Source organism: Homo sapiens, chromosome X (assembly GCF_000001405.40).
Source record: "Homo sapiens chromosome X, GRCh38.p14 Primary Assembly".
Lineage (NCBI taxonomy): Eukaryota > Metazoa > Chordata > Mammalia > Primates > Hominidae > Homo > Homo sapiens.
In genome coordinates, this window is record NC_000023.11 from 100,575,119 (window position 1) to 100,602,243 (window position 27,125).

The following is a 27,125-nucleotide window of genomic DNA, read 5'->3' on the forward strand; positions in this document are numbered from 1 at the left end:
AAAGCTGGGTCCCAGGCCAGGCACAGTGTTTCACACCTATAATCCCAGCACTTTGGGAGGCCAAGGTGAGTGGATCACTTGAGGTCAGGAGTTCAAGACCAGCCTGGCCAACATGGTGAAACCCCACCCTTACTAAAAATACAAAACAAAAATATTAGCCAGGCATGGTAGCAGGCACCTGTAGTCCCAGCTACTCAGGAGGCTGAGGTAGTAGAATCGCTTGAACCCAGGAGGCGAAGGTTGCAGTGAGCTGAGATTACACCACTGCCCTCTAGCCTGGGCGATGGATCAAGACTCAGTCTCAAAAAAAAAGGGAAGAAAGAACCTAGGAATTGGTCCAGCTGGTCCCTGTCCCATGGGAACTTCCCTAAGAAGGAACATGCTAGATGCCCACTATGTGGAAGGGATAGGGAAGTTCTCAGTATCCCTCTTACACTGTTCTAATTCTTTTTTCTTTTCTTTTTTTTTTTTTTTCATTTGGATAAGGATTTAAAGGAGCAGTTGGTTCAGCTCCTCCTTGGTCTGCAGGTTTTTCTTCCTTTAACCCTCCTGCTGCCCATTGATCTTTCTGTCCCTTATTTTGTGAGACACGTGGAGGGGGCAAGCATAATAGGGGGTCCCAGGGCTTTTCACTGGGCAAAGACTTTTTTTTTTGAGACGGAGTCTCGCACTGTCTCCCAGGCTGGAGTGCAGGGGCACAATCTCGGCTCACTGCAAGCTCCGCCTCCCAGGTTCACGCCATTCTCCTGCCTCAGCCTCCCAAGTAGCTGGGACTAGAGGCACCCGCTGCCACACCCGGCTAATTTTTTGTATTTTTAGTGGAGACGGCAGGGCAAGGGCTTTTCACTAGGCTCTTTTTCTTCTTTGAGGGGAAACATGGGGGCTAATTCCTTGATCCAGCAGAGTGTAACCTATCTTTTCTTGTGATTATGGGGTTTTATCATTTACATAGAGAATTAAAGCTTGGCACACTCAGTCATCATCTGAGCCAAACTTAGGCCAAAAGACGGAAGGCTTATGAATGGGGTCTTTGGGCCAGATAAAACAGCAATATATTATTATCTTTTGCTTTTCCTTGTCCCCAGTTTGAGGGTCATCCCTCCAAATCTGCAGCATTCTCCCAAAGGACTATCCGGGGAAATGTCAGAGGGAATCTCTTTGGCTCCCTCTTTTCTTTGTCCCCTAGGCCTAGAATTTCTGTTTCCCATTTTTGGTCAGTCTCTGTATCTGAGCTTTTCTCTGTGTACTCGGCCCCCACACTGGAGGTTTCTTGCACACCCAGAGAATCGCTTTGTCCATCTCCAACCATCTCCCTCACAGGAGAACAGAACCACGGATTGGGACTCCACACTCGCTTTGTATCCAGGATACGTCTCAGTCACACACACTCAACCTCCGAAAATGCCCAACCACCAAGGCGGTACTTATAGTCCAATTTTCCTACCTTGACTTGTGCATGAGGTTGCCTGGTTGCCACAGTGCCTGCTTTATTCCCTGTGTCGCCTACGCTGCCTCCTGAATAACAGTCTTAGGTTTGTCTCTGGCCTCTGTGGGGAGCCAGGATGCCTGGACAGAGCAGGCCACCTAAATCAGGTGGGACGTGTCTCCCCTATTGGCTGGGGTCCCACTCCACACAGGCACAGAGATCCCAGACGGGCCCCCATGTTTGTGAGAAACACACATTCACCCATCCAAGCCCAAAGAATGGACTCAGAGATATGAAGAACAGTGGAAGTGAGACTTTTAATGGCAGTCTTGCAAGATCAGGTGTCTGGTAGGCAGGCACACCCAGGGCAGTTACAGCAGGTAATTCATCTCCTAGCATGCAAGTCCTTCCCCCAGTTCCTCATTGGTCGAGTACTATGGGGTTACAATCTTCCTGGATATTGTCCAAGTTTCATTATCCCCCTTACAACATTATACCCCGGTCCCCTTCCCTGCTTAAGTTTCAATTTCCCAATAACAAAACTTTCTTCCCTTTTATGGGCTGACCCCTCCTCTACATTCTGTTCACTTATCATGACCTTCTAGGTGCATGAGCCATACAGTTTGTCACATTCACAGGCTGGCTGTCAGTACTTACATTTATTGTGCCTTGAAAATTGACCATTTAAAATGTTTTCTCACATCACCCTATTGGAGGCTGGGACCTAGAGCAAGAAACTGGCAGATTCGGTTTCTGGTAAGGACTCAATTCCTGATTTATAGACGGTGCCTTCTCATTGTGTCCCTACATGGTGGAAGGGAGTCACGGGGTCTCTCTAGGATCTTTTTTTTTTTTTAATAAGGGTACTGATCCTATTCATAAGGGCACCACACTTATGACCAAATCACCTCCCAAGGTGCCACCTCCTAATGCCATCACTTTGGGAGTGTAAATTTGGGGAGGAAATAAACATTCAGACCATAGTAGAATGTTTTTGTAAAATAATATATTTATAAAAACCAGTTACTAAAGAAAACTACACACACACACATACACACACACGTGTGTGTATTTTCATAAGAATAGTAAAGGATATGAAATAAAACTCATTAAACTGTTAATAGTGGTTTATATTGGAAACTTGGAGGGGTGGGGAACAATGCTGATTTTTTTTACTTCCTACTTTTGACAGATTATTTACCAGTGAAGGTATACTTCTTTAGTAATGGAAAAAATTTAAATAATCCTACCAAACTAAAATCCTTCCAGTTGCTCAAACATTTCATTCTCCTTCACATTTCAAGGTTTTGTTCATGATTTTCTCAAAACTGGAACACTGTCTCTCTGACACCTTCACCTGGCTACTCATCTTGTAAGTCTTGGTTTCTTTATTACTTTCTTTCAGAAGCCTTCCCTGAGTACCCTTCTTCTCCCTATAACCTTGCAACTGAGTTAGGTGCCCTCCTCTGTGTCCCCTAGCACTCTGTATTGCCCTAAGATAACACTTACCTCACACTAGGTTGTGATTGTTGGTTCACATGTCTTCCCCCCTACACTGTCTTATGCACTGCAGTATTCCCAGTCAGTATTCAATATGTATTGAATTTATTAATTGATTTATAGACACAACATTACTGAAAATCCTATTCCTTTTATTCCAAAGGGGAAAAAATGGAGAAATATGGAAGACAGTAAAGAAGGGAGAAAAGAAAGATAATTCAGAGATTTTATTAGGCCCAAATGAAAAGCTAGATGGAGAGGCAGAAGGAAGAAACAAGGCAACCTGGAGAAGAAGAAAGTAATCTGAGTAACACAGTCTGTCATATCTTCATCTATCTCATGCGATCAATATTCCACTCATACTAGACTACTCACTCTGCTACCCCAAATACATACTTATACACCTGTATGACTTTGCTCATGTTATTCTTGCAGCCTAGAATGCTCTTTCACGTTTTCCTCCACCCAACTCCTACTTTTCACAGGATTTTGACCATGCAGAAGCTTTTGACAACAGTTCACCACTGCCTTCTTTGTCAAACGAACTCCATTTCCCTGGCCAGCTGGCCAGCTCCTCTTTTTCTGTCACCTGACTTCTAATGCTAGAATTTCTGCAATACAATACAGCCAACCAAAGGATGAATGGGAAAGGCATGGTTAAAGGACCAGTGTAGCCCATGATGCCAAAAGACAGTGAAGCAATATCAACCAAGTCCTGAGGGAACAAAAGTGTGACCCAACAATTTTATATCCTGTCATTTTGCCCTTCAACAGACAGATATCTTCAAGCATGCAAAAGGTCAAGAAATACAACACATGTGAGTGCTTCTTTTTAAAAATACTAGCAGATGATAAAATCTAGACAATCAAAATATGTACCAAAAAAAGAACTCAGGAATAAAGAAGCTTTGAGAGAAGGACTAGTGGTAAGTATTGAATTAAGTTGGACACAAGAGCAAACAACTTAGAGAATTTCAAGTGGAGAACAGAATGTAAGTGTTATAAACTGTGAGAAGGCACAAATAATAATATAGCTAACAGAAATCAGGAGATGAGAGGGGAAGTGCAGGGGTTACATTTCCTCATATTTATTATGACAGTTTACTATGTGCCACGCACTGTGCCAAGTATTTTACAAGTGTTAACTCATTCGTTCCTCACAACAATCCATGCAGTAGGTACTTTTTTTCTTAAGTAGGTACATTTTAATTCCTTTCCAGAGAGCAAATTGAGGCACGTAGAGATTAAATAATTTCCCCACCTTCACATAGCTAGTAAGTGGCAGAACTGACTTGAACTCAGGCAGGCTATCTCCAGAGCACATGTCCATAAACATAGAAATCAGTCAACACTATCAAAAATTGAGACCCGGAGATAAAAATATGAAGACTTCAGCCTCTTTATATTTTTTAAATCTTTGATCTTAACTTTAAAATAGTCTTTCAGAAACTACTATTCCTTGAGGGGGAAGAAGTTTACCAATTCCTTGACTCACACTTTGATTTAATTTTCTTTGTTCAATTCAGTGATTCTTAAAACATAAATAATGTGTTAAAATTTGCCTATCCATTTGTTAATCCTATATAATAAAAGTGATTTCCAGAATAATGCTCATTAATCTTAAAACAGCTACTGGTTATTAGGTGTTCACTATCAAAGTAAGCACTTTATTTATTTATTTATTTTTATTTTATTTATTTATGTATTTATTTTTTATTTTGAGACAGAGTCTCACTTTGTCACCCAGGTTGGAGTCCACTGGCGTGATCACGGCCCACTGAAGCTTCAACCTCCTGGGCTCAAGTGATTCTCCCAACTCAGCCTCCCAAGCAGCTGGAACCACAGGCACATGCCACCATGCCTGGCTAATTTTAAAAGTTTGTAGAGACAGAGGTCCCCCTGTGTTACGCGGGCTGGTCTCGAACTCCTAGGTTCGAGCAATCCTCCCACCTCAGCCTTCCAAAGTGTTGGGATTACGGGCATAAGACTCCATGCCAGGCAAAATAAGCACTTTAAATGGATTACCTCATTAAGTTATCACAACAACCTATAGGTACTGTTTGTATCCTCCTGTTTTTCAGATAAGAAAATTGAGGCACAATAATGGCTATTCTTGGTTGGTGCAGATTTGAAGGGATTTTTTCTCTTTTTTGTATTTTTATATTTCTCCATTATTTTTATAATGAGTGTGTATCTTTTTTATAAAATGAAAGCCATTGTGAAAGCATGTCTCAAAATAAATAACTGTGAAGATTCCCTGGGGCTCAGTCTTGAGCTCTTTTCTCCTTTTGTCCTGAACTCTCTTCCTAGACCATATCATAGACTCCCATAGGTTTGAATGCCATCCAAAGGCAAATGGCCCCCATATCTATATTTCCATTCAAGCACCTGTTTTCCAAGCTCCAGACACATTTGCCCAGCTGCCAACTAGACAACTCCTGTTGGATACTTCATAGACTGTTCAAGTTTAACATGTCCAAAACTATGCTCATCACTTACCCCAGACTGGTCCTCCTCAGTGCTTCCTAATCCCAGTGAATGGTGCCACTGTCCACCCAAAGGCACAAACCAGAATCTATGTTATTTTTTGTTCTTCCCTTTCTCTCATTCTCTATATATTCAATCTATCACCAAGTATATGCTTTACCTAAAATATGTCCCAGATCTGTTTACTTATTTCCATCTCTGCTACCACTTCCTAGTCCAAGCCACTATAATCTCTTTCAGTTACCTCCTAACTGGTCAACCTTTTAAAACTCTTGCCCCCTTACAATTCATTCTTCTCACAGCAGCCAGAGAGATTTTAATAAACATAAAAGGAATTCTACTTAGAACTTTTCAATTAATTCCCATTGTTTGTAGAATAACTTCAGTTGAGTACACGGGCACATGCCTGTAATGCCAGCAACTTGATAGGCTGAAGTAGGAGGATCACTTGAGTCTGGGCCAAGTCCAGCCTGGGCAAAATAGCAAGACCCTATTTCTAATTTTAAATAAATAAACTTCAAACATTTACCATGACCTTTGTGGCAGAAATTATAAGTTGCCTACTCAATATGTTTCCCCCTTCTATATATACATAAAAAGATATTATTAAGAGTGGTAACAGGCTCAGTTGAAAATAAAACCTCCCCAGACCCCACTATAAGTAGGAGTGGTCATCCAACCCAGTTCTGGCCAATAAGATAAGCAAAAATCTACAGGACAGGGCTTCCAGGAACACTATTACTTTCTTAATGGAAAGGGACAAATTTAGCTGCCACATGTTCTTTTGCCCTTTGCTATCCCCCCTTTATCCTGCCTAGAGGTGGAGCAGCCATCTTGGAAGCATGATGATGGAGGCCATGCTCAAAAGATCACAGAACAGAAAGATGGAAGCTTGGGTCCTTGTACTTGAACTAGCCCTGGACTGCTGACTTTGTGACTCCCATTATGTGAGAAAAATAAACCCTTCATTTGGTTAAACTGCCATAACTTGGTTTCTATTACATACAGCAAAAAACAGTCCTAGCAGATGCAACTCTGAATATGTCTCCTGCCTACCTCTTCAGCCTTATCTCAAGTAACTCTCCTCCTCATTCACTACATCACAGCTACACTGACTTTCCTTTTATTCTCTAAATAATTCAACCCCTTTTTTGCTTCAGGATATTTCCATGTGCTGTTCCTTTGGCCTGGAATAATCTTTTCCCCACTCATTACCAGCTAACTTCTACTCATTATTCAGGTCTTAGCTTAAGTGACAACTCCTCAGCATGGATTTCCCTCACCCATCCCACCCAATCCAAATTAGGTGCTTTAAAGCACCTGCACTTTTCCTTCTTAGCATATATCATCATTTATGTACTTTTATTTACAGGATTTTTTTCCTTTTAGTTTAATGTCTGTCTACCCAACAAGACTCTGAGCTCTATAAAGGAGGAACTGTGTTTGCTTGTCTACTACTGAATATATATCTAGCTCCTATAACAATGCCTGCCACATAGGGGACACTGAATAAATACATGCTAATCAATGAACAGTCTATTGAAATGCCATGTCCTTTGTGCCATTTTTCCTGCTTTTCTGAATCAGAATTAATCACTCTTCCCTCTATGTTTCCATGGAATATTGCTTTGACTCTTGGTTTAATTCAATCCTTTTAACAAGAAAGGCATGTTTTAAAAGATCTCAAAGTCTATTCAGGAGAGGAACACATAAAAAAGAATTATAATACAGCATACAAAGTATAACGGTTGAAGTATGAGCAAGATACAAAAGTAGAGCAAGGGAAAGGGTAATTAACTTAACGAAGTGGAAGAGATGAGACCAGGAAAGGCTTTCAGGGGGTGATAACATCTAGGCAGCATTTTGAAAGCCAAATGGGAATTTTCCAGGTAAACAAGGGAAGGCAGAAAACTCCAGGCAATGAATATAGCATGGGCAAATGTCCTACAGTGTGAAGAAGTAGGGCATGTTCATTAATAGGGTGTACAGTGTGAGGCAGGCATCAGAGGCATAGTGTGAATAACATCACTGAGGGGAACCATCTGACCCAATAAACATAAGTTTCTCCATGAGACTGCTCTTGTGGCTTTTCTTTTTTCTCTCTTTAAGCTTGACCAAAGAATTGTAGAACATATAGAATCGTGACATATTTCATAATTTATGTAATCAGTTTAATGCACAATCATGTATCCAACAATTAGAAAATTATTTTCCTTGAGACATTAGGATGTGGAGGTAGTCATATGTACATGCCCCATTTTCCTGCCCAGCTGCGACCTCCCAGTTGGCTCCATCGCTGTAGAAAAAAATTGTCCAAAATCAAGACTAGAGAGTTGGACAAAGTCGAGATCATTAAATGCCTACTATGTCACAATAAGTGGCTTGGATTTTATAGACAATGAATAGATACTAAAGGATTTTAAGCAAGGGAGAGATTATCCTCAAATTTGAGTCTTAGAAAGATCACCTTGAAGACAATGTATGAGAGACAAGGAAAACAGAATTCTATTGCAATAGTAAAAGTGACTGAGAACCTCAACTTAAACAGTGGTGATTGACAATGGAGAGAATAGGATTGCAGAGCTAATTCAGAGGCAGAATTAACTGGACTTAATAATTGATTAGCCATGGGGATGAACAAGACAGGAAGAAATCAAGGATCATCTGGAAGTTTCTATTCTAGAGACTGATTATTGTGTCATTTAGTGAGAGAGGTAATACCAAAAAAAAAGTGCATGTTTGAAAGGAGAGATAACTAATTCAGTTCGGGATATATGGAATTTGAGGTGTCTGTTGGGTATTGTAGATGTCTAGCAGGTTAGATGGACATATGGATGTGGAGCTCCAAGAGAACAGCCTGGGTAAAATATATGGATGTGAAAGTTCTCAAAAAGGATGACAAACTAAACTGGGGTGTTAGCAGTGAGCACAATAGGAAAGAACAGCTTTCAAAGATATAAAAATTTAGAATAGATAGGATCTAGTGATTGATTGGAATAGATAGGATCTAGTGATTGATTGGATAAAGGGAATGTGAAAAAGAGACAAAACCTCAGATTTTTGGTTTGAAAGACAAACCTCACATTTTTGGTTTGAAAGACAAACCTCAGATTTTGGTTTGAAAGACTGGGTGCGTGACAATTCCACTATTATAAGCTAAGTTATGTTCCCTCAAAATTCATATGTTGATGCCCTAGCCCCCAGTATTTCTATATTTGACTGTATTTGGTGATAGGGTTTTTAAAGAGGTAATTAAGGTTAAGTGAAGTCATATGAATGGGACCTTATCCAATATAACTGATGTTCTTATAATGAAAGGAGATTAGGATACAGGCATACATAGAGGGAGAATGTCATGTGAATATGGAGATGGTCATCTACAAGCCAAGGAGAGAGGACTCAGAAGAAGCCAACCCTGATAACACCTTGATCTTGGACTTCTAGCCTCCAGAGCAGTAAGAATATAAATTTCTGCCATTTAAGCTACTCAGTCTGTGGTATTTTGTTATGGCAGCCCTAGCAAACTAATATAGCCACCAACTAAGGTTGGGAATATGAGGGGAAAAAGTAGGTTAGGAGAAGGTGTTGAAAGAAGACTTTGATATAGAACATGTTGAGTTTGAGATTCCTGAGGTATATCCAGGTGGAGATGTTCAAATGGCCTTGAAATTAAAAGATATAACTGGGTTACAGGTACAGATGTGGAAATCACTGATATGTAGGTGATATTTTCAACTGTAGGAATGAATGATATCATCTACGAAGTCTGTGTAAAGTGAGAATGATCATCAAGAAGAGAACCATAAGGCATGTGAACATTAAAAAGCAGACTGAGGAAGAGGACCCAAGAAAGGAGAAAAATCAGAGACAGAAGATGAAGAGAGAGAGCTTAGAATTAGTCTTTATTTTATCCTGTTTTCATTATAATTAGTTAAGTACATATTGATAGCACCATTTAAAGAGCTTTAACTTAGTGAAGGAGGCAATATCTTATTCATTTCTGAATCTCAAACACCAAGCACAGTGCCTGACATTTAATATCCCTGCAATAAATATTTGTTGAACCAAATGGAATCGAAATTAGGACTTCATTCCCTTCTTTGTTTTGTTTGCTTATTTCTGGAGTGTGCAGCATGTATTGCCACTGATATTTTAAGTTCATAGTGAAAAATCATTTCAATGTGTTCTAGGCTTGGTCCCCTTCCAACCCAACCCCCAGGACAATAGTTTTCATTATAACCTTCTGTCTTTGCCATTCTGGATGGAATTCTGTGCACAGAAGTTATATACATATATGGGTATATCTATGTAACAAATCGCAGCACAGGAGTCCCCTGGGCTCCCTCAGGCTCTGGTATGACATATTTGAGCCATATAAATTCAGCTTCTCCTCTGGCATCTGTTAGCCGACTCACTTGCAACTCCACCTCAGCAGTGGTCTCTCAGTCCTCTCAAAGCAAGGAAAGAGTACTGTGTGCTGAGAGACCATGGCAAAGAATCCTCCAGAGAATTGTGAAGACTGTCACATTCTAAATGTAAGTTGATTCATATTTTTTCCCTTTTGAGCAGAAGCATGGTTTCACAGATTTATCATATTGCAAAGTGAACATTAGAAAGTGGAATCAAAGGTGACTTTGAATTATGGCTTGCTTATTGAGATTTATTGTGTATTGTTTTATTCTCTCTGTTCTTTGGTTAGGCAGAAGCTTTTAAATCCAAGAAAATATGTAAATCACTTAAGATTTGTGGACTGGTGTTTGGTATCCTGGCCCTAACTCTAATTGTCCTGTTTTGGGGGAGCAAGCACTTCTGGCCGGAGGTACCCAAAAAAGTAAGTAAATACACATCATAATCTGATGCTTCTGTTCTGAGTTTGATTGAATTTAATTAGTAGGCATATAAATTATTCTGAAAATGAAAATCATTAAGTCTCTTTTGTGTTTATTTTCTGGTGGTATGAAAAACTGAATCAAGATTTTTCTCTCCTTCATTTGCCTAATTATTTTGGTAAGGGAAAAAAATTTATCTTCTATATTTTGGTTAGTAATGATAGGGTGTAGAATTACCCATTCTTCTATAATGCTTATATTTAAGGAGTTAAGACTCCTCCTAGGAGCAAAGTTTTTACCTTAAGAAAAAATACTTTTAATCTTTCTTTCAATTATCTGGGCAGAAACTGATGGAAAAGTAATTAGACCACCACATAAGGAGAAACCACCCAAAGTGGCAGCAAAGGATTTTCAGGGATTATGTTTCTGACTTAATGCATCTGCAGTGAGAACAGGCAGCAAGCTGCTTTTCAGGAGGAGCAATTCTCATACCTGACTTCACATTTATTTATGACTTTAAAAAGAAACTAGAGCTTTTCAGCTCCTTGCCAGCTGCAATCATCACTGTCCCACTGAGATAGCAATGCCACAAGGTAGAAGCATGCGACACCAAGTCATTAATCACAGATAACTCAGAAAGCTTCTGATACTGGGGTCATTTGGTGAAGCTTGGCTAGCCACTGTAGTTTATATTTCTGTACCTTAGTGTTATTGTTATTCCTGGGCTCATAGGCAATGGGCAAGTTTAGATATAAAATAAATAAATAAAACCATAGTCCCAAATAAAACCATAGTCCCTTCATGCTCACAATTTCCATTTGAAAGATAATCAACAAATATACAAACTACAAGTTGTGAAGATAGTTTTCTGGCTTTGCCATGTTTTTCTGTTGGTGTGTGGATTGCTGCTGAAGTTATTGTTATTACTGTTGTTAATTGGTTGTCATAAGATGCTCATTTCTATTTGGTAACAGATGTAGGGAGAAAAAAGCACAAATCCAGGAAGGAGGATGATACAAGAAAATGGGTTGGCATGGACCGTTAGGAGCCAAAGGAGCAATAGGAGCAGAGAGAAAAAAATATGGGTCAGTGGGGAGAGAGAGGCAGAGCAGGAAAAGCAGAAAATAAGCTGGCTAAGTGTCTGAAAGATAACAGAGGTATAAAGCATAACCACCCTTGGGTTCTCCACCTCTGCTGTCATACCCACTTTCATTTAGTCCCAAAGGATATCTTATCAGGTTTAAGTAGGAGGGAGAGCAAGCCAGCCTACTTTGTTTGCCTTTTTATTTATACTTTGTTCCAGAAAAGATTTCAGGCATCACCCAATGCCTATAGTTAGCCCTATCCCCTACTCCTCCTCCCCTTACTGCTCCTTGCTTCTGAACTACTTACCGTTCAAATGTCCTTCTAGAGAAGCCACCTGTGTTCAGGCTGGCAGGGTGGGTAAAGCAATCGAGATCAGGAAGGAAACAGCAAATTAATAAGAGAGCCAAAATGCATTCCAATACAATTCTGGTACCACTTAGCTAATTCCCAAGGTGATATGTCACCCCACAAGTTGAACCTTGGATCCTCTTGAAAATTATCCATGAGTTAAAGGGCCATAAATCCTTTGTTCTCCACAGCCATAATGTACTTAACTGGGCATGGTGGATAGCTAGTCCTTTTGACCACCCTTAGATGCTTGCCTAAATAAGGGGCCAAATGGCCTTTCTTGTTTTATTGTTGTCATTGGTACTGCAAATGCTATTCCAAAAGAGTATATGTGTTTTTATAAATTTACAGTGCTATTTGCCTCAACGCAGCTATAAACGACTAGGTGGAGACCTTGCCTTTTTATTGCAAAGTGTCAAACTCACTTGCAGCTTCATGGTCTCCTCTCTTTCCCTATTATATCATCTTTACATCTCATTCTAGTTCTGTTTTTAATGATTATAAGGAGCAATCCTATGATACCTCAAACCAAAATAAAACTTGGTCAGTGCATGCACAGAAGAGGTGGGATATGCTGCTGAATAAAGTTTATCAAAAATCAAACCTCTTGTGAAGTAATCCATTTTGGGATGTCATTTTCAGCAAAGGGACTCTCAGAAATGAACAAAGCTATTATGAAGTAATCCAGATAAAGACAACAGGTGTCCCCTAGGGCAAGTTTCTCTACCATGAACAAATATTGTTGGTTTTCCATTCCAGTGGGGAGTTATGATTCATTGTCTTTGATATTTAAGTCATGGCCTTCATAAGACCAGGTTTGGTTCATTGAAAACTAAGAAATCAGCTGGAAATGAGGATGCTTTACTTAGTCCACTACTACCTTCAGGTCCCAGACAAAGATCTCAAGAGACCATCTATGTTTCCAATGGGTACGCCTATCAACAAGCCTGCCTTAGAGCAGACTTAAGAATTCTGGGAAGAGACTAGCAGTCAGATTAGTCTTGGAAGAGTTGCATAGGAAAGGGACACAGGCATCTTACATAAATTAAAGACTCTCCCCTTAATGGTATGGCCTAGCAAGAAACAACAGCAGATTAAAATCCAGGCTCTTTGGGCTTTCCTTAACAAATCTATGAGACTTGTTGGGACTCTGTGGCCCTTGGTAGAGAGAGCTGTGCATGCAACTGTGCTTATTGGTGGCAGTGATTTGTTTGCAGTCCTGGGATTTCCTCCAAGCTCTTAGTGTTTGCTCTCCTAGCCTCCACCACGCCTCCTTTTTATTTTGTCTTTCAACATCTGTGTATAATAAACAGTATTTATTTAACATCCCACATCTGGTGTTGACATTTCCATGCCAATAAGTCCTTCTCCTCACTCCCGCTTTGGTGTGTACAAAAGATCCAGATTCCTGTATCCAAATTGAGAACAAGCCATGCTTGACCTCCTCCCCTCACATACCTCAGGTCTGCGTGCACACAGGTGTGCACACGCACAGACTCACACACACACAGACACACACACACACACACACAGACCAGAGAGAGAATGAAATCAAAATAAAGTGAAACAAGGACGACTAACTCTGGGTGAGCTGCTGCATTTTCTTACAGGTCCCAGGCCCCTGACCCACAGCCACATACAGGAGCCACCTGAGCTAAATGAAAGCCAGGTCCATCCAGCTCTGAATTCAGCTTTCTTAAACAAGCAGAAGAGACCTATTCAGTCCCAGCAATTTTGAGAAAGCATCGTAATGAGGCTCCCCTTCTAGGCAGTGACTGCCCTGGGATCATTGAAGCAGAATCACCAAAGAAACATTCTTGCTTAAAGCCCCCTGTATTACACATTTTACTGGAAACAGTCAGAAGCCAACTCCTCAGCTAATTAATCCAACATGAAGCAAACAAATCAGAAAAATCCTAGCCCTTAAACCAACAGTTTAGAAACTTAGCACAGACCTTGTAGCCCATCCCTGCCAATCCTTTGTGGAGCGAGGCAGAAGAATCATACATTTAATAAATGAAAGAGTGTCCTTACTGCCTTACATAGGAGCTGCCTGGTGACTTTAGGGTTGTTTGAAAGCCATCAGGACCACAGTAATCAATAGATTCGTGAGGATGTTCCTTCAACTTCTATATATTACCAGAGCAATGAGGAGTGGTAGGGATAAGCGGGCACTTTTCTGCCCTCCTGCCACACCTCAGTTGCAGGTGATCACTAAAACAGTCTCCCCCAGCGTTGTGAGTCCACTATCATTCTAGGTTGAAAATCCTTTGCTCAGAAGAAGCACTTTCTTGACGAGTCTGATTGCAACATTTTGTGCGTGCCTATTTCTTGGCACGCACAATTGGGCATTAGCCCAATATTAACTTTTTTCGCTCCTCTCTAGGCACACAAGGAAGACAACTTTTTTCTCCAGGTCCCCTGGGCTTTCCTACACCACAGTCCGGTGGGTGAAATGTGGGTCTAGAGAAACATTAATATACCCTCAAGGAAAAAGTTGAAGGAGTAGCCGGAATATTTTTGGCAGGGAGACTGAGCTTTACCAGATGGTGCCATGTTGGCATTTTCAAAAAAAAAAAAAAAAAAAAGACCTCTCTTCATTTTCCTCTTAAAGCATTGTGAGACCCAGGTCCACCCTTGTACAACTCTCACTGGGCCAGCTCTTATTCTGGGCTACTCAAGGGCAGCTCCCAGCAATTATGTGGAGCCAGGCTGTGGCTGTGATGGGCATGTTCTTCTTAGTCAGTCTCTTCATTCTCCTAAGGCAGCATTTGCTGAACAACTTATATGACACCAGGATGAAGAGCCTGGGCCTTCAAAGACAGCTGTTCTGGAGTGGTTGAGAGTGGAATTGGGGCTGTGGAGGAAGTAGCCTGGATGATCAACAGATAGTGGCAGTAGGCGTAGTCCAGTGATCAACCTGACAGGTTGATCTGAGCAAATCTCAGCAGACTTTGCTAACTATCTAACATTACAGATGAAAAGGGGTAAAGGATTAAAATAGGAACTGAGTCCCTAGAGACACTCAGTGATTTGCCCAAAATCACACAGCTTGTAAGTGGTGGGGTTAAGGTTAGAACTAGAGGCTAGTCTGAAGATTCTTTCCACTATTCTTCAGCTGCATTTAAGAATCAGGGATGGGGATAATGGGTAGGAGAAAAACTTACTGGTCAGCTCAAGTCTGTAGATAAAAGAAGTAGCTTTTTCTTGTTGAAAAAGAATGTCTGTGCTGCTTATGCCAATATTTTGCATATTGCCAAATGGTGATTGAAGATGCAGAACTCTAACTTTGCATAAGGAACAATCTGTCTGCTCTGTGTTGGTAAAGAAATACCCAGAGGCCCTTTAATTCCCCCAAGTTAGGTTAATAATAATATGGTACAGTGCATTCTCTTCCCTTCCTTCCAGCCTAACACCTGCTAGCCAGCTATTCTGAGCATGTATTTCACCTTTGGAGAGTGTACCTCATAACAGACAGTAAGGGATGAAGATGGAGTGAAGAGCAGCTAGATTAATCACAGGCTTCAAAAAACAAACCTAAGCCAAATGTCCTCAAATCCCTGTCAGGACAGGCTAAAGCTTCTTGCCCCTAAAACAGATCCATCACACTGAGGTCTGAGATAGCTTTACCTTTTCTAAATAGCTTTCTTTTCTGATCTCAGGGACTGCCACAGAGGCAAGAAAACAAGGAAAACTGTGAAAGAGGGATGTTAGGGCTCATTTGCTGCCTGAATGGAGGATTTAACTGGACTGAAGACAGAATTCCTGGGCAGGGAAGAAAAATGGGTTGTGTCCTCTACATATTTTGTCAGTGTGGTCTTCTTACACTTCTCACTGCCTGGACTTAACCACATATCTGTCTCATTTCACTTCTGATTCCTATTCCACTCCATTGGCTTCCTTGTTCCATTCCAGTGTTCTGGTTCTTATAGTTAAGGCCAGCCTTATGTGTGGGTGGAGTAAGAGCCCATTTGAGTGGTGCTGGAAAGATGCCCTTGCCCCCAAATATCTCCCATTCCTCGTGCCACTGTGCCTATTAGATTGGTGCAAAAGTAACTGTGGTTTTAGCCATTGAAAGTAATGGCAAAGTAATAAAGTAATAAAATCCACTATTAGTACTTCATTCCTCTGAGTGAAGTATTGCACTCAAATTTTTAAACAGACAAATATTCATCACTAATATCTAAGTGTGAAATCATGGGTCAGATTGATTTCTTCTTTGTCATAAGGTACCTGAAGCACCACGAGATTCCTAGATGTCTAGACAGGAGACAAAGGGACAGAAATGGGAAGAGAAAGGGGAAGGGCTATGAGGGTATAGAATGAACAGAATATGAAAATAGAGCAGAAAAGGAAAGCTAGAAGCACCAAAAATTAACTCTCTCTATTTTCCAATTGGGCAGGGGTGTACTCCTCATCATATTCTGTCCTTGCTCTATCCTCCCTGGAATAAAGCTGAGTTGGAGGCAGCTGAGATGAGCTACTTGTAGCCCACTCACACCTCTCTTCAGGCCAGTCATCCTGTCTCTGCTTTAGCTTGCTCCTGGAGAGGACAAAGCCATTTATTCTTTCATCTCCAGAAAGACCTTCAACCCCTGAGCCAGGAAGCTTAGTAGAGAGCAAAGTACTTGTGATGCCAAAGGCATGAGCTCAGTCTTCATACGGGCCAGTGAAGCTTGCATAGCCATTACCCAAGCAATGTGCTCCACAGGGACCCAGGCGAGACAGTGTGTCTGGATTTGCTCATACCCATCTCCAAACAGTCCAAAGTGGGCCACCAGCATCATCTTCCTAGACGAAGAACAGTCTGTTCCAAAAGGACACCTTTGATAGTGGAATTCTGTCTGGGTGAATATATAGCTCCCCACTCCTACCCCCTACCAAGGATTCACACATAAACGAAGTCATTCTGTTCCCACTCTAGTAACTTATCATTACTAACATAAAGCCAACAAGTTGGTTAATGAACACAATCAGAATGGACCCCTTCTCCCCTACCAAAAAAACTCTTTGCAGGAATGTTGAAAATAATCAAGATCTGCTGAGCTTGGCAGTTTCCAATAGTTTTCATCTAGCAAGGTGTCCAAGTAAAGTGCATTGCCAACAGTGCAGGAAAACTCATTCCACAGAAGCACACTGAAATTCTAAATGTCACCAGTAGGTTCCATAGTCTTCTACCAGTGATTGAAAATACAGCCTGTATTTTCTCTTTCGCCCAGGTAGGCAGTGTTCCAGCATCCCCTAGTCTCTAACCTCATTTTTCCATACAATAATCCATCAGTGGTGCTACTGATGAAATAAACACCCCACCGCAGCCCCCAATGGCTAGTGGCATCAACATTTGTCTCAAAAATGGATAGTATTTCTAACAAAATTCCCCCGTTGGGAGAGCTGACAGGACTGGATCTGAAGTGGATGCCTCTCTTTTCTACTTAGGTCAGACAGACTGAGAGCTCAATTTGTTGCCACAGGTAGAAGTTTCTCTTCTCAAGCTGGCTGCAGAGCTGGAACTGAGGACATATTTATTGCTAGAAGCAAATAACAAACCTAAAGGAATTTGCTACCTATCACAAACCAGGCCAGACTTCCTGAGTTAACTCTGCAGTTGCCAGAGAGTTCTAAGTATTGTTTTTCTTTCACTTTTAAAATGGTTTTTTTAAAAGACCTTGCCAATACTCAAAAATGTCTCTTTAGGAAGATAAGGATGTGCCATTGGTGGGGACAACTTATTCAACAAATACTTAGGTTCCAACCATGTCCAAAGCACTGTAGGGCTACCAAGAGGTAAATGACATTGTCTCTTGTTTTTCTCTTCAGCAGCTACATTAGACTTGTCACCCTTGAAGTAACACTTGCTTCTACAAATGGTTCCAATTTGTTTTTCTCTAGTTGAGTTGGTGAATATTTCACCAGGTTAAACTAACATTCAGTCAATGGCATCAGCAGAGACTAAAAAATGACCCAACCTGGTGTAAGTTCTCTATAAGGCTGCCACTGGGAACCGTATCATTAGAAAGCAATGTGGGCTCTGAAGAAGACTTGCTTTTTCAGGCTTTTAGTTTCCCAGATTTTTTTCATAAGGAAAAATGAACATGGAGAAACTCGATAAACAAAGGTCTCCTAATGACAGAGATAAGATAGACTTCCAAAAGGCATCATCAGGTCTGGCCTGGTTTGTGACAGATAACAAATTCCTTTATGCTTATTTGCTTCTACCTATAAATATGTCCTAAAACTATAAGTTATGGGCTTACTCCTAAACTGCAGTGCCATATGGGACTGGTCCTCTTGGTCTTTAGAAATACAATTGCCTCTTTTAGAGTGCAGGAGAAAATCTGGGGTTTTGTTTTAGCCACTCAAGAAAGACCTGATGAGCAGTCTTTCTTCTTGGGAGGCTCCATGTTACTTAATGCAGGACACTTGGCTCAGTTGGCTTAATTCCATATACACAAAAGAATCCGTAGAACTTGAAAACAACTGAATATGGCTTGGGAAACAGAACCCAGGAATAAACTGGGTGGGGTTGGTTGCCGTATAAAGAGAAGGCTAAGGGAAGGCAATAAATGTTTCCTGGAGTTTAAGGGGCAAAAGGAAGCAAACAGAGCAGGGTAGGGCTCTAATATTGGCAAGGAGAAAGTCTTCAGATTCTAAAAGGAATAGACTCAAGGCTGTTGTGGCAATATTAAAGCCCTGGATAAATAAGGAGACAAAAAACACTTAACCATTTTAAGTGTATTCAAATCTCTTTCTAAGCCCTAATGAATTTCACGGGTGAGGGGCGGGGCAGTAAGGGGGGGGTCGTGATTACTTAGCACTTGGAAAGGGAAGTGGTAGCTTAAAGAAGCAGCATAGGTTTTAGGTGATCCCTCAGCTTAACACAAGGGGAAAATACTTTATAGGCTGGTTTGCAAACTATCATTTGCTGTTTAGTCAAGGCTGCCAAGAAAACTGTTGGAATTCTTAGTAATTAGCTCAGCAGCTTGGCTTGAATTCAAAATACCAGCTCTGAAGGGATCCCCATATCAGCTCCAGCGCCAAAAAGCACCTCACTTTAGGGACACACTGAGTATCTTAGAGATTGTTTTCCTCTGTTCTCCCAGGCCTATGACATGGAGCACACTTTCTACAGCAATGGAGAGAAGAAGAAGATTTACATGGAAATTGATCCTGTGACCAGAACTGAAATATTCAGAAGCGGAAATGGCACTGATGAAACATTGGAAGTGCACGACTTTAAAAACGTAAGTTGGATGTTTTCCTCCTAAGGCTTTCCACTTAAAATATTAGAGCAGTTGAGTCAAGTTAAAAATAGCCTCCATCTAAAATTTGAATTCAAATGGAAAGCTAGCCTCCTCTAGCTTTCCATTTGAATTCAAATTTTGCTAGTCTGGGACCCCAACAGATCATGGAACTTACTAATAGTGGCTCTTTTGGGAAGCTTTATTGTTGTTTTGTCTGTTTTATAGGGATACACTGGCATCTACTTCGTGGGTCTTCAAAAATGTTTTATCAAAACTCAGATTAAAGTGATTCCTGAATTTTCTGAACCAGAAGAGGAAATAGATGAGGTATGTAAGAAGAATAATTGTGGTGGCAAAAGACATCATTTATTGGATGCTAGCTATGTGCCAAACATTGTACTAAATGCTTTACTTTTCTTTGATTCTCCAACAACCTTATAAATAGATACTATTGTTATCATCATTTTCAGATCAGGAAACTAGAACTCAGAGCCAAAAAGTGACTTGCTCAAGGCCACACAGCTAGTGAGTAGCAGATTGGGGTCTTGAACTTAGGCCTTTCAGAAAACTCAAGTGCATAATTTTAGGTGCAATGCTATACTCTTATACCCGGGCACCCATTAACATTATGTTGATTTTCTCTGAAACCAAAGATTTCTAGTAAGAGGGATGAGCCAGAGAAACAAAATCAATCTTGCCTCAGATAAAGCGTTTTTAAAAAAGAAAGTTCCAAAGCCACCTGGGGTTCTTGCCACTTTTGTCACACTTCAGTATTCACCTATTTTAAAGATTGTGGTTCATTCACCTTACCATTTTATGCTGGGCTGCTAATGGAATAATTCACATTTAACCTCAGTAGGAAAGGCAAAAGCAAAGAAGGTGAACACTGCAATGGGATACAAATTCTCTGAAAACACCCTGCTAGACCAAAGTAAGGCAACCTAGGGTGCTGGTGAAATCACTGAATGGCCCTTTAAAACCTAATGGGAGATGGATGTTATTGCCTAAAATACAACGATCTGTAAGGCCCTTGAGGCTCTTTATTGTTCCCTGATATTTTGTCTATAATTACAGTATGGTTTTATTAGTGGGAGGAGAAGGGGGACCTCAGTTAAGGTCATATTGTGACAGCATATCCCCACTATAGCAAGAAAAAACAAACATTGGTTTGGTTTGGTTTAGTGCTTAGTTGCCAAATCTAAAGTGGAATTATGGCAATGGCAGAATGATCTTTCTTCTTCTTCTTCTTCTTCTTTGTATTTTTAGTAGAGACGGGGTTTCACCATAGCCAGGATGGTCTCAATCTCCTGACCTCATGATCCGCCCGCCTAGGCCTCTCAAAGTGCTGGGATTACAGGCATCAGCCACCGCGCCCAGCCATGGCAGAGTGATCTTTCTATAAACTATAAAAACCTCTTTCTTTCTTTCTTTCTTTCTTCTCTCTCTCCCTGTTCTTTTTCACTTTTCTCCCACCCAGCTCCCTCCATCTTGATTCTCACCAACCCATTTATCTTTTCCTTTACCTTTTTCTTTACCTTTTTCTTTATTTGGGGGCGGTGGGTGGGGAGGACTATTTTTCTTTCCCTTACCCAAGTCTTAGAGCTGTCATTGGCTCCCACTTTACTCTTTCATGCTACTGGTCTCCTCGGGGCCAGAGGAGTTACAGACCCTTGTTACTAGAATTTGCAAGAAAAAAAAGAACGTTCTCCCAAAGATGATGCTCTGCTCCCAAGGTCTACGGTAGTGACAAAGTTTGGAGACTTTTTTTAAAGTAAGCATAAGTTAGATGCATCTGAGGAATAGATCGACGTTCAGGATATTAGGAATGACTATAGAAGGCAAAGGTAAGATAAAAGGAAAATCAATAGGATTAAAAAGCTACTATACACAATAACATATGCTGATTACATACAGAAAATAATGTAAGCATTTGAGTAGGCCACTCAGCAATGAGAACCTGAAGTGATATAATAGGATTTATTTTTTTGAAAGATTAAGGCAAAGGAGGCGGGGCACGGTGGCTCACGCCTATAATCCCAGCCCTTTGGGAGGCCGAAGAGGGGGATCACTGGAGGTCAGGAGTTCGAGACCACTCTGGCCAACATGGTGAAAACCCATCTCTACTAAAACAAAACAAAACAAAACAAAATTAGCCGGGCATGGTGGCGTGTGCCTGTAATCCCAGCTACTGAAGAGGATGAGGTGGGAGGATCACTTGAACCCGGGAGGTGGAGGTTTCAGTAAGCCGAGTTTGCGCCACTGCACTCCAGCCTGGGTGACAGAGCGGGACTCAGTGTCAAAAAATAAATAAATAAACAAAAAATAAAGGCAAAGGCTCATAATGTCTCATTTTGGCCCTAATTTAGTCTTCAGTTAATTTCACCAAATATTTTAAATAACGCAAATTCATTTCATGATAGTAAGAACACTGTACCTTCAAGTAAATCTTGTTTTTTATATTCACGCCACAGATTTTTTTTTAATGAGACAAATTTGTGGTCCTGAATGACAAAAACCTTCTTCTGTAATTCCCTCCACACTGTATCCATGGCATGTGTATTTTAAACATGCAGAGCAGGTATATAAATAGCCCTGATTTTGCTAACAAAGCTAGTCAGCATACCAACCTCATTTTATACAATTCCTTTCAATGCATCTCAAGGTCGTTACAGACTCAAGGACAAAGGTGCTAAGACTTTAGAATTGTAAATGATTCCGGGAGAAATTAGTAAGAACTAGGTATACAACACAATTACCTCAATACTAGAAACTGAAGAGAAAGTGGCATCCTTCACAATATAAAAAAAGCTGCTTAAAGGAAAAACACTCTGTGAGATAAACTCTAAGCATTTACAATGAAAGGAATGCAATAGTAGGAAGGCCAGTGAAGTCATAAACTGGAGACTTGCCTTTAAAACATAAAAGGAAATCTTTTGTACTATAACTAGCTACCATCAACAGGCAAATCTTGTAAAACCAAAATATTAGATTACATTGTTATTGAATTGATCTCACCAGTTTGGATTATAGGAGTTTTGTCAGCTTCGGGTCAAATCCTGCTTGCCACCCAAGATGCAAACCTAAAATAAGGCAGGCTAATAAAATGTATTTATAAAAAAGAAAACAAATGTAAATCACTTAGGGTTCCAGAAGCTCAAGTTAAAACATACACAGACCCAGGGCACCCTGAAAATAACGAAGCCCCTTTCTGACTTTGAGTGAAATGGTAACAGAGAAGGCTCCTACTTTAGTAAGCAGTCTTGCTGTTAGACCCAGGAAGGAGGAAGGATCAGTTGTTAACTCCCCCAAGGGCACCCACTGAATGCAAGGCACAGAGCTAGTTCACCAGCAGCCCTAGGATTAAAATTGTTACACTCAAAATATATTGCTTTCCAGCATCCCATAATGTCTCACTTGTTCTACTAATTTCTCTGCCAATCCCTACCCTAAGCTACTTTCTTCTTTCAGAATGAAGAAATTACCACAACTTTCTTTGAACAGTCAGTGATTTGGGTCCCAGCAGAAAAGCCTATTGAAAACCGAGATTTTCTTAAAAATTCCAAAATTCTGGAGATTTGTGATAACGTGACCATGTATTGGATCAATCCCACTCTAATATCAGGTATGACATTCTTATCCTCATCCTCCTCCTATTTTCTAAGACAGTAACAGGTTAATGTTCCCAGCATTTAGAGGCTACATTTCTAGGAAAACAAATGATCGGTTTATATCTTCTTGGATGAGTCTATATATGCTGACTGCCAGTGAGGAGGGAATTTTTCACAGCCAAGTTATAAATCAGATAAATTAATGTTGACAGGCTTTTAAATATCCCAGCAAAGGTAACACCACCCTAATGTGACTAGTGATAGCAAAAAACTAATCTGTCTCTCTTTGCACATCTATATTCATTGCAGTCGGTATGCCAGACTATTGCTCAAACCACTGTGGGTCCAACCCAAGAATAGAGGAGAGAAGGGCAAAAACAATGCTCTGCTATCAAGAAGGATTCCCTATGTCAAATGGTGGCATTTTCCTTAGAAGATAGGACAATCACTGCAATACAAATTTCTTTGTTGCTGTTTTAGGAATTACTATAAAAATAGTTGAGGGCTTGATGTCCAGAGTAGAAGAGTCCAGCCCTCAACTTCCAGTCAGCCCATAGAGAAGGTAAAGGCCCCTGGATGTCTTAGTCTGTTTAGCTAACATGGAATTTGGCCTCCCTCATTCTGCACAGCATAGATTACTCTATTACCCAAGAGAGGTTATTCTCACCAATGTAAGCATCTGTGGGTACTCTTTAGAGATATTAAAAAGGTGACTAAATGCAGTGTGGTATCCTGGACTGGATGCTGGAACAGAAAAAAACATTAGTAGAAATACTAATGAAATCTGAATAAAGTCTGTAGTTTAGTTAATAACATTGTACCAATTCTAACTTCTGATTTTTGATCATTGTACCATGGTTATGTGAGGTAACATTAGGGGAAACCGGGTGAAGAATATGTGAACTCTGTACTATTTCTGCAACTCTTCCATAAATCTAAGATTATTTCTAAACAGAAAGTTTAAAAAAAATTTAAGACAAGAAACATAAGGGAAGTGGGAGGACAGAGGATGTCAAATCAATTCAGGCAACCAAGAAATATTTATTGAGCATCTACATGGGTAAAATCATCATTGTAGGAGATACAGAAGTCCCTTGTCCTCAGTTTTTAATTTAGTGTGCTATTAAGTCAAAGCAGTAAATGTTTGATGCCAAAGAAGCAAAGAAGTTTGTGTATGTAGAAATGATCAGGCTTGTTTTGGAAACTACTCTAAAATATCAGCTGAAGGAGCTTGGAAAAGTGGTCCATGCCTAAATGATGCCAGTTAGAAGACACAATGAAAATCTCTATCCCCAGCTGCTATTCTCCCAAGCACTTCTTTCAGGAACATTTGCAAAGCAGTTGCATCACAACTTTGCATTTATTATCTTAGTTTCTGAGTTACAAGACTTTGAGGAGGAGGGAGAAGATCTTCACTTTCCTGCCAACGAAAAAAAAGGGATTGAACAAAATGAACAGTGGGTGGTCCCTCAAGTGAAAGTAGAGAAGACCCGTCACGCCAGACAAGCAAGTGAGGAAGAACTTCCAATAAATGACTATGTGAGTTATGTTTATGTAAACTCTTGATAGAGGAGGAAAAAAGAGCCCTCACAAAACTTACTACCCCTCAGATCACAATCATTGGAAGGAGAACGATCATGGCTTTAACAAAAAAAAAAAAATGTTTAAGAAACTTGGAATCTCCAGGAGGCTCATTCAAAATCAATCTCGATCTCTGTAGATATATCTCCATGATCAGGCTAAGGAGCTTAATTTCTCACAAGCCCCCAACTCATACAGTCTTCTAGTTCTCCCCTGCTTGGTGAGAACTCTTGCTAGTGAACCTTCCTCTCCCACCCCCAACACTGGCTTCTTCTTCTTTCAGACTGAAAATGGAATAGAATTTGATCCCATGCTGGATGAGAGAGGTTATTGTTGTATTTACTGCCGTCGAGGCAACCGCTATTGCCGCCGCGTCTGTGAACCTTTACTAGGCTACTACCCATATCCATACTGCTACCAAGGAGGACGAGTCATCTGTCGTGTCATCATGCCTTGTAACTGGTGGGTGGCCCGCATGCTGGGGAGGGTCTAATAGGAGGTTTGAGCTCAAATGCTTAAACTGCTGGCAACATATAATAAATGCATGCTATTCAATGAATTTCTGCCTATGAGGCATCTGGCCCCTGGTAGCCAGCTCTCCAGAATTACTTGTAGGTAATTCCTCTCTTCATGTTCTAATAAACTTCTACATTATCACCAACAGCCTGATTGCTGCTGAACACACTGGGTAAGTGTTTGCTGAGAATATTCACAGCAACTGAAATGGAGCAGACCCGTCAAACATAGATGACTATGCTGAGGCTCAGAAAACAATGCCCCAAAATGAAAGCCTCAGAAGCAAAAGTTTTTCTCTGACCTTCTCCTACCTGCCAGTCTCTCAGTCCCATTCTCCCCCGAGGCTAGCCATAAAAGCTAGAATCCCTCTTCCTCAAGGCGTGTCATATAAATCAAAACCCCTTTTTTCCAAAGCCAGCCTTAAACCTAAAAATATCACTCTGATTTTTCCTCTGCTTTTCTGTGTAAAAGCTGGCCATAAGGAAATTATCTGACCTACCTTGTTTGACTGTAGGTCATAAGACTCCCTTTCCAGAGAGGATCCAACACAACAGGTTTGGAAGTAGAAAAGGGCAAAGCATAATGATACCTAAATATCATATTTTACTCTGCTGTATTAAGACAGTGGAAATAAGGAGCTGATGATAAAATGTCTCCATAACTGATGCATTAAAAACATATCCTTTTGTGCATAGCCCCAGTGTTTAATTATATGAAAGATATATTGTGAACTTCCTTAAGTATCAATTAAGCTGCTGGACAGGCAGTGAGTCATAGCAGGCCAACACTAAAATATTCCAAATGTGCAGACTCAGCAAAGGAGAAAGCTAAACTAGCAAAAAGGGTCTCAGGCTCTCCTCCTATAAACAGGAACTCAACTTAGGACAAATTCAACATTCCATAGCCTTCACATCTGGCTCCTCTTTATATCAGTGTTTGATTAGATACCTTTCCAAGGCAATTGTCTAAAAAACAAGAACCCATAAATACCATTCACAGAAACAGGCATCATAGGAAATTATTGAGATGAGGAATCAAATGGGATTTTCCCTCCCAAATCACAGGGAGCTAGCAGTATACCAGTTTCTGAAAGAAAAGGTAAGGGCATACTTCCCAATCACTCCATACTTTGCTTGGGAAAGGAAAAGAGGGCAAAGGGGAAAGAGAAAGAAGTGGTTAAAGGGTAACGTTAACCTTGATGTCCCAGACAGTTTCAGTTTCAAAATTCATGCTCTACCAATCTGTCACCCCTTCTAGTTTCATTTGAAGGTAGCATATACTTCATTGCTCAACTTCAAAGTTATTGTGTCATGAAAATGTCTGTCTGGAACTTTCTATCAGAAAAATATTTTCAAATAAATTCTTCACCAAGATGCCTGTGGGCCAGCAGTCATTTTCTCCCATTTAAGAGTTGAGGAAATCCATAGAAAATGGCTTTGCCCAAGGTTGAGTTGTGATTAGCCAGTCATTAATTGGTAATTAGCATATATGCCATACTTAGATTACCAATTTTCACAGAAAGAGAGCACAATAAAATATATCTAACAATGCACATTACTGAAAATATTTTTAATTGATGATTTAGAAGACATCTGATTGTTTTAGAGTACTTCGATTATCATAACAAGCATTAATTTATAGTTGAAATAGAAAAACGTCAAAGATAGGAAATTACTTTGAGGTTATATGAACTTTATGATGTTTCTATCATTGTTTTTTAATAAGACTACTCATTTTTAACATTGCTTTTTTAGATCAGCCAATAATTTTATTATATTTAATTTTTTCTATTTTTTATTTATTTTTCCATAGGTTATTGGGGTACAGGAGGTATTTGGTTACATGAGTAAGTTATTTAGTGATGATTTGTGAGATTTTGGTGCACCCATCACCCAAGCAGTATACACTGAACCCTATTTGTGGTCTTTTATCCCTCGGCCCCCCACCCCACCATTTCTCCCAAGTCACCAAAGTCCATTCTGTATTTTTTTTTTTTTTTGAGACGGAGTCTTCCTTTGTCGCCCAGGCTGGAGTGCAGTGGTGCGATCTCTGCTCACTGCAAGCTCCGCCTCCCGAGTTCACGCCATTCTCCTGCCTCAGCCTCCCGAGTAGCTGCGACTACAGGTGCCTGCCACCACGCCCGGCTAATTTTTTTTTTTTTTTTTTGTATTTTTAGTAGAGACAGGGTTTCACCGTCTTAGTCAGGATCGTCTCGATCTCCTGACCTCAGGTGATCCACCCGCCTCGGCCTCTCAAAGTGCTGGGATTACAGGAGTGAGCCACCGCGCCTGGCCCATTGTATCATTCTTATGCCTTTGCGTCCTCATAGCTTAGCTTCCACGTATCTGTGAGAACATGCAATGTTTGGTTTTCCATTCTTGAGTTACTTCACTTAGAATAATAGTCTCCAGCCGGGCACGGTGGCTAAGCCTGTAATGACAGCACTTTTGGGAGGCCAAGGTGGGCGGATCACGAGGTCAGGAGATCAAGACCATCCTGGCTA

At 40.6% G+C, this 27,125-nt stretch overlaps 1 protein-coding gene across 1 annotated transcript; it reads left to right on the top strand.

Moving 5' to 3' along the window:
* On the top strand, positions 9,818–24,767 carry TNMD (tenomodulin). The gene is made up of 7 exons (NM_022144.3): positions 9,818–9,948; positions 10,113–10,244; positions 18,777–18,917; positions 19,143–19,244; positions 22,386–22,539; positions 23,898–24,064; positions 24,390–24,767. Exons 1-7 carry the CDS (start codon positions 9,901–9,903, stop codon positions 24,597–24,599), a joined length of 954 nt encoding a protein of 317 aa, NP_071427.2. The 5' UTR covers positions 9,818–9,900; the 3' UTR covers positions 24,600–24,767.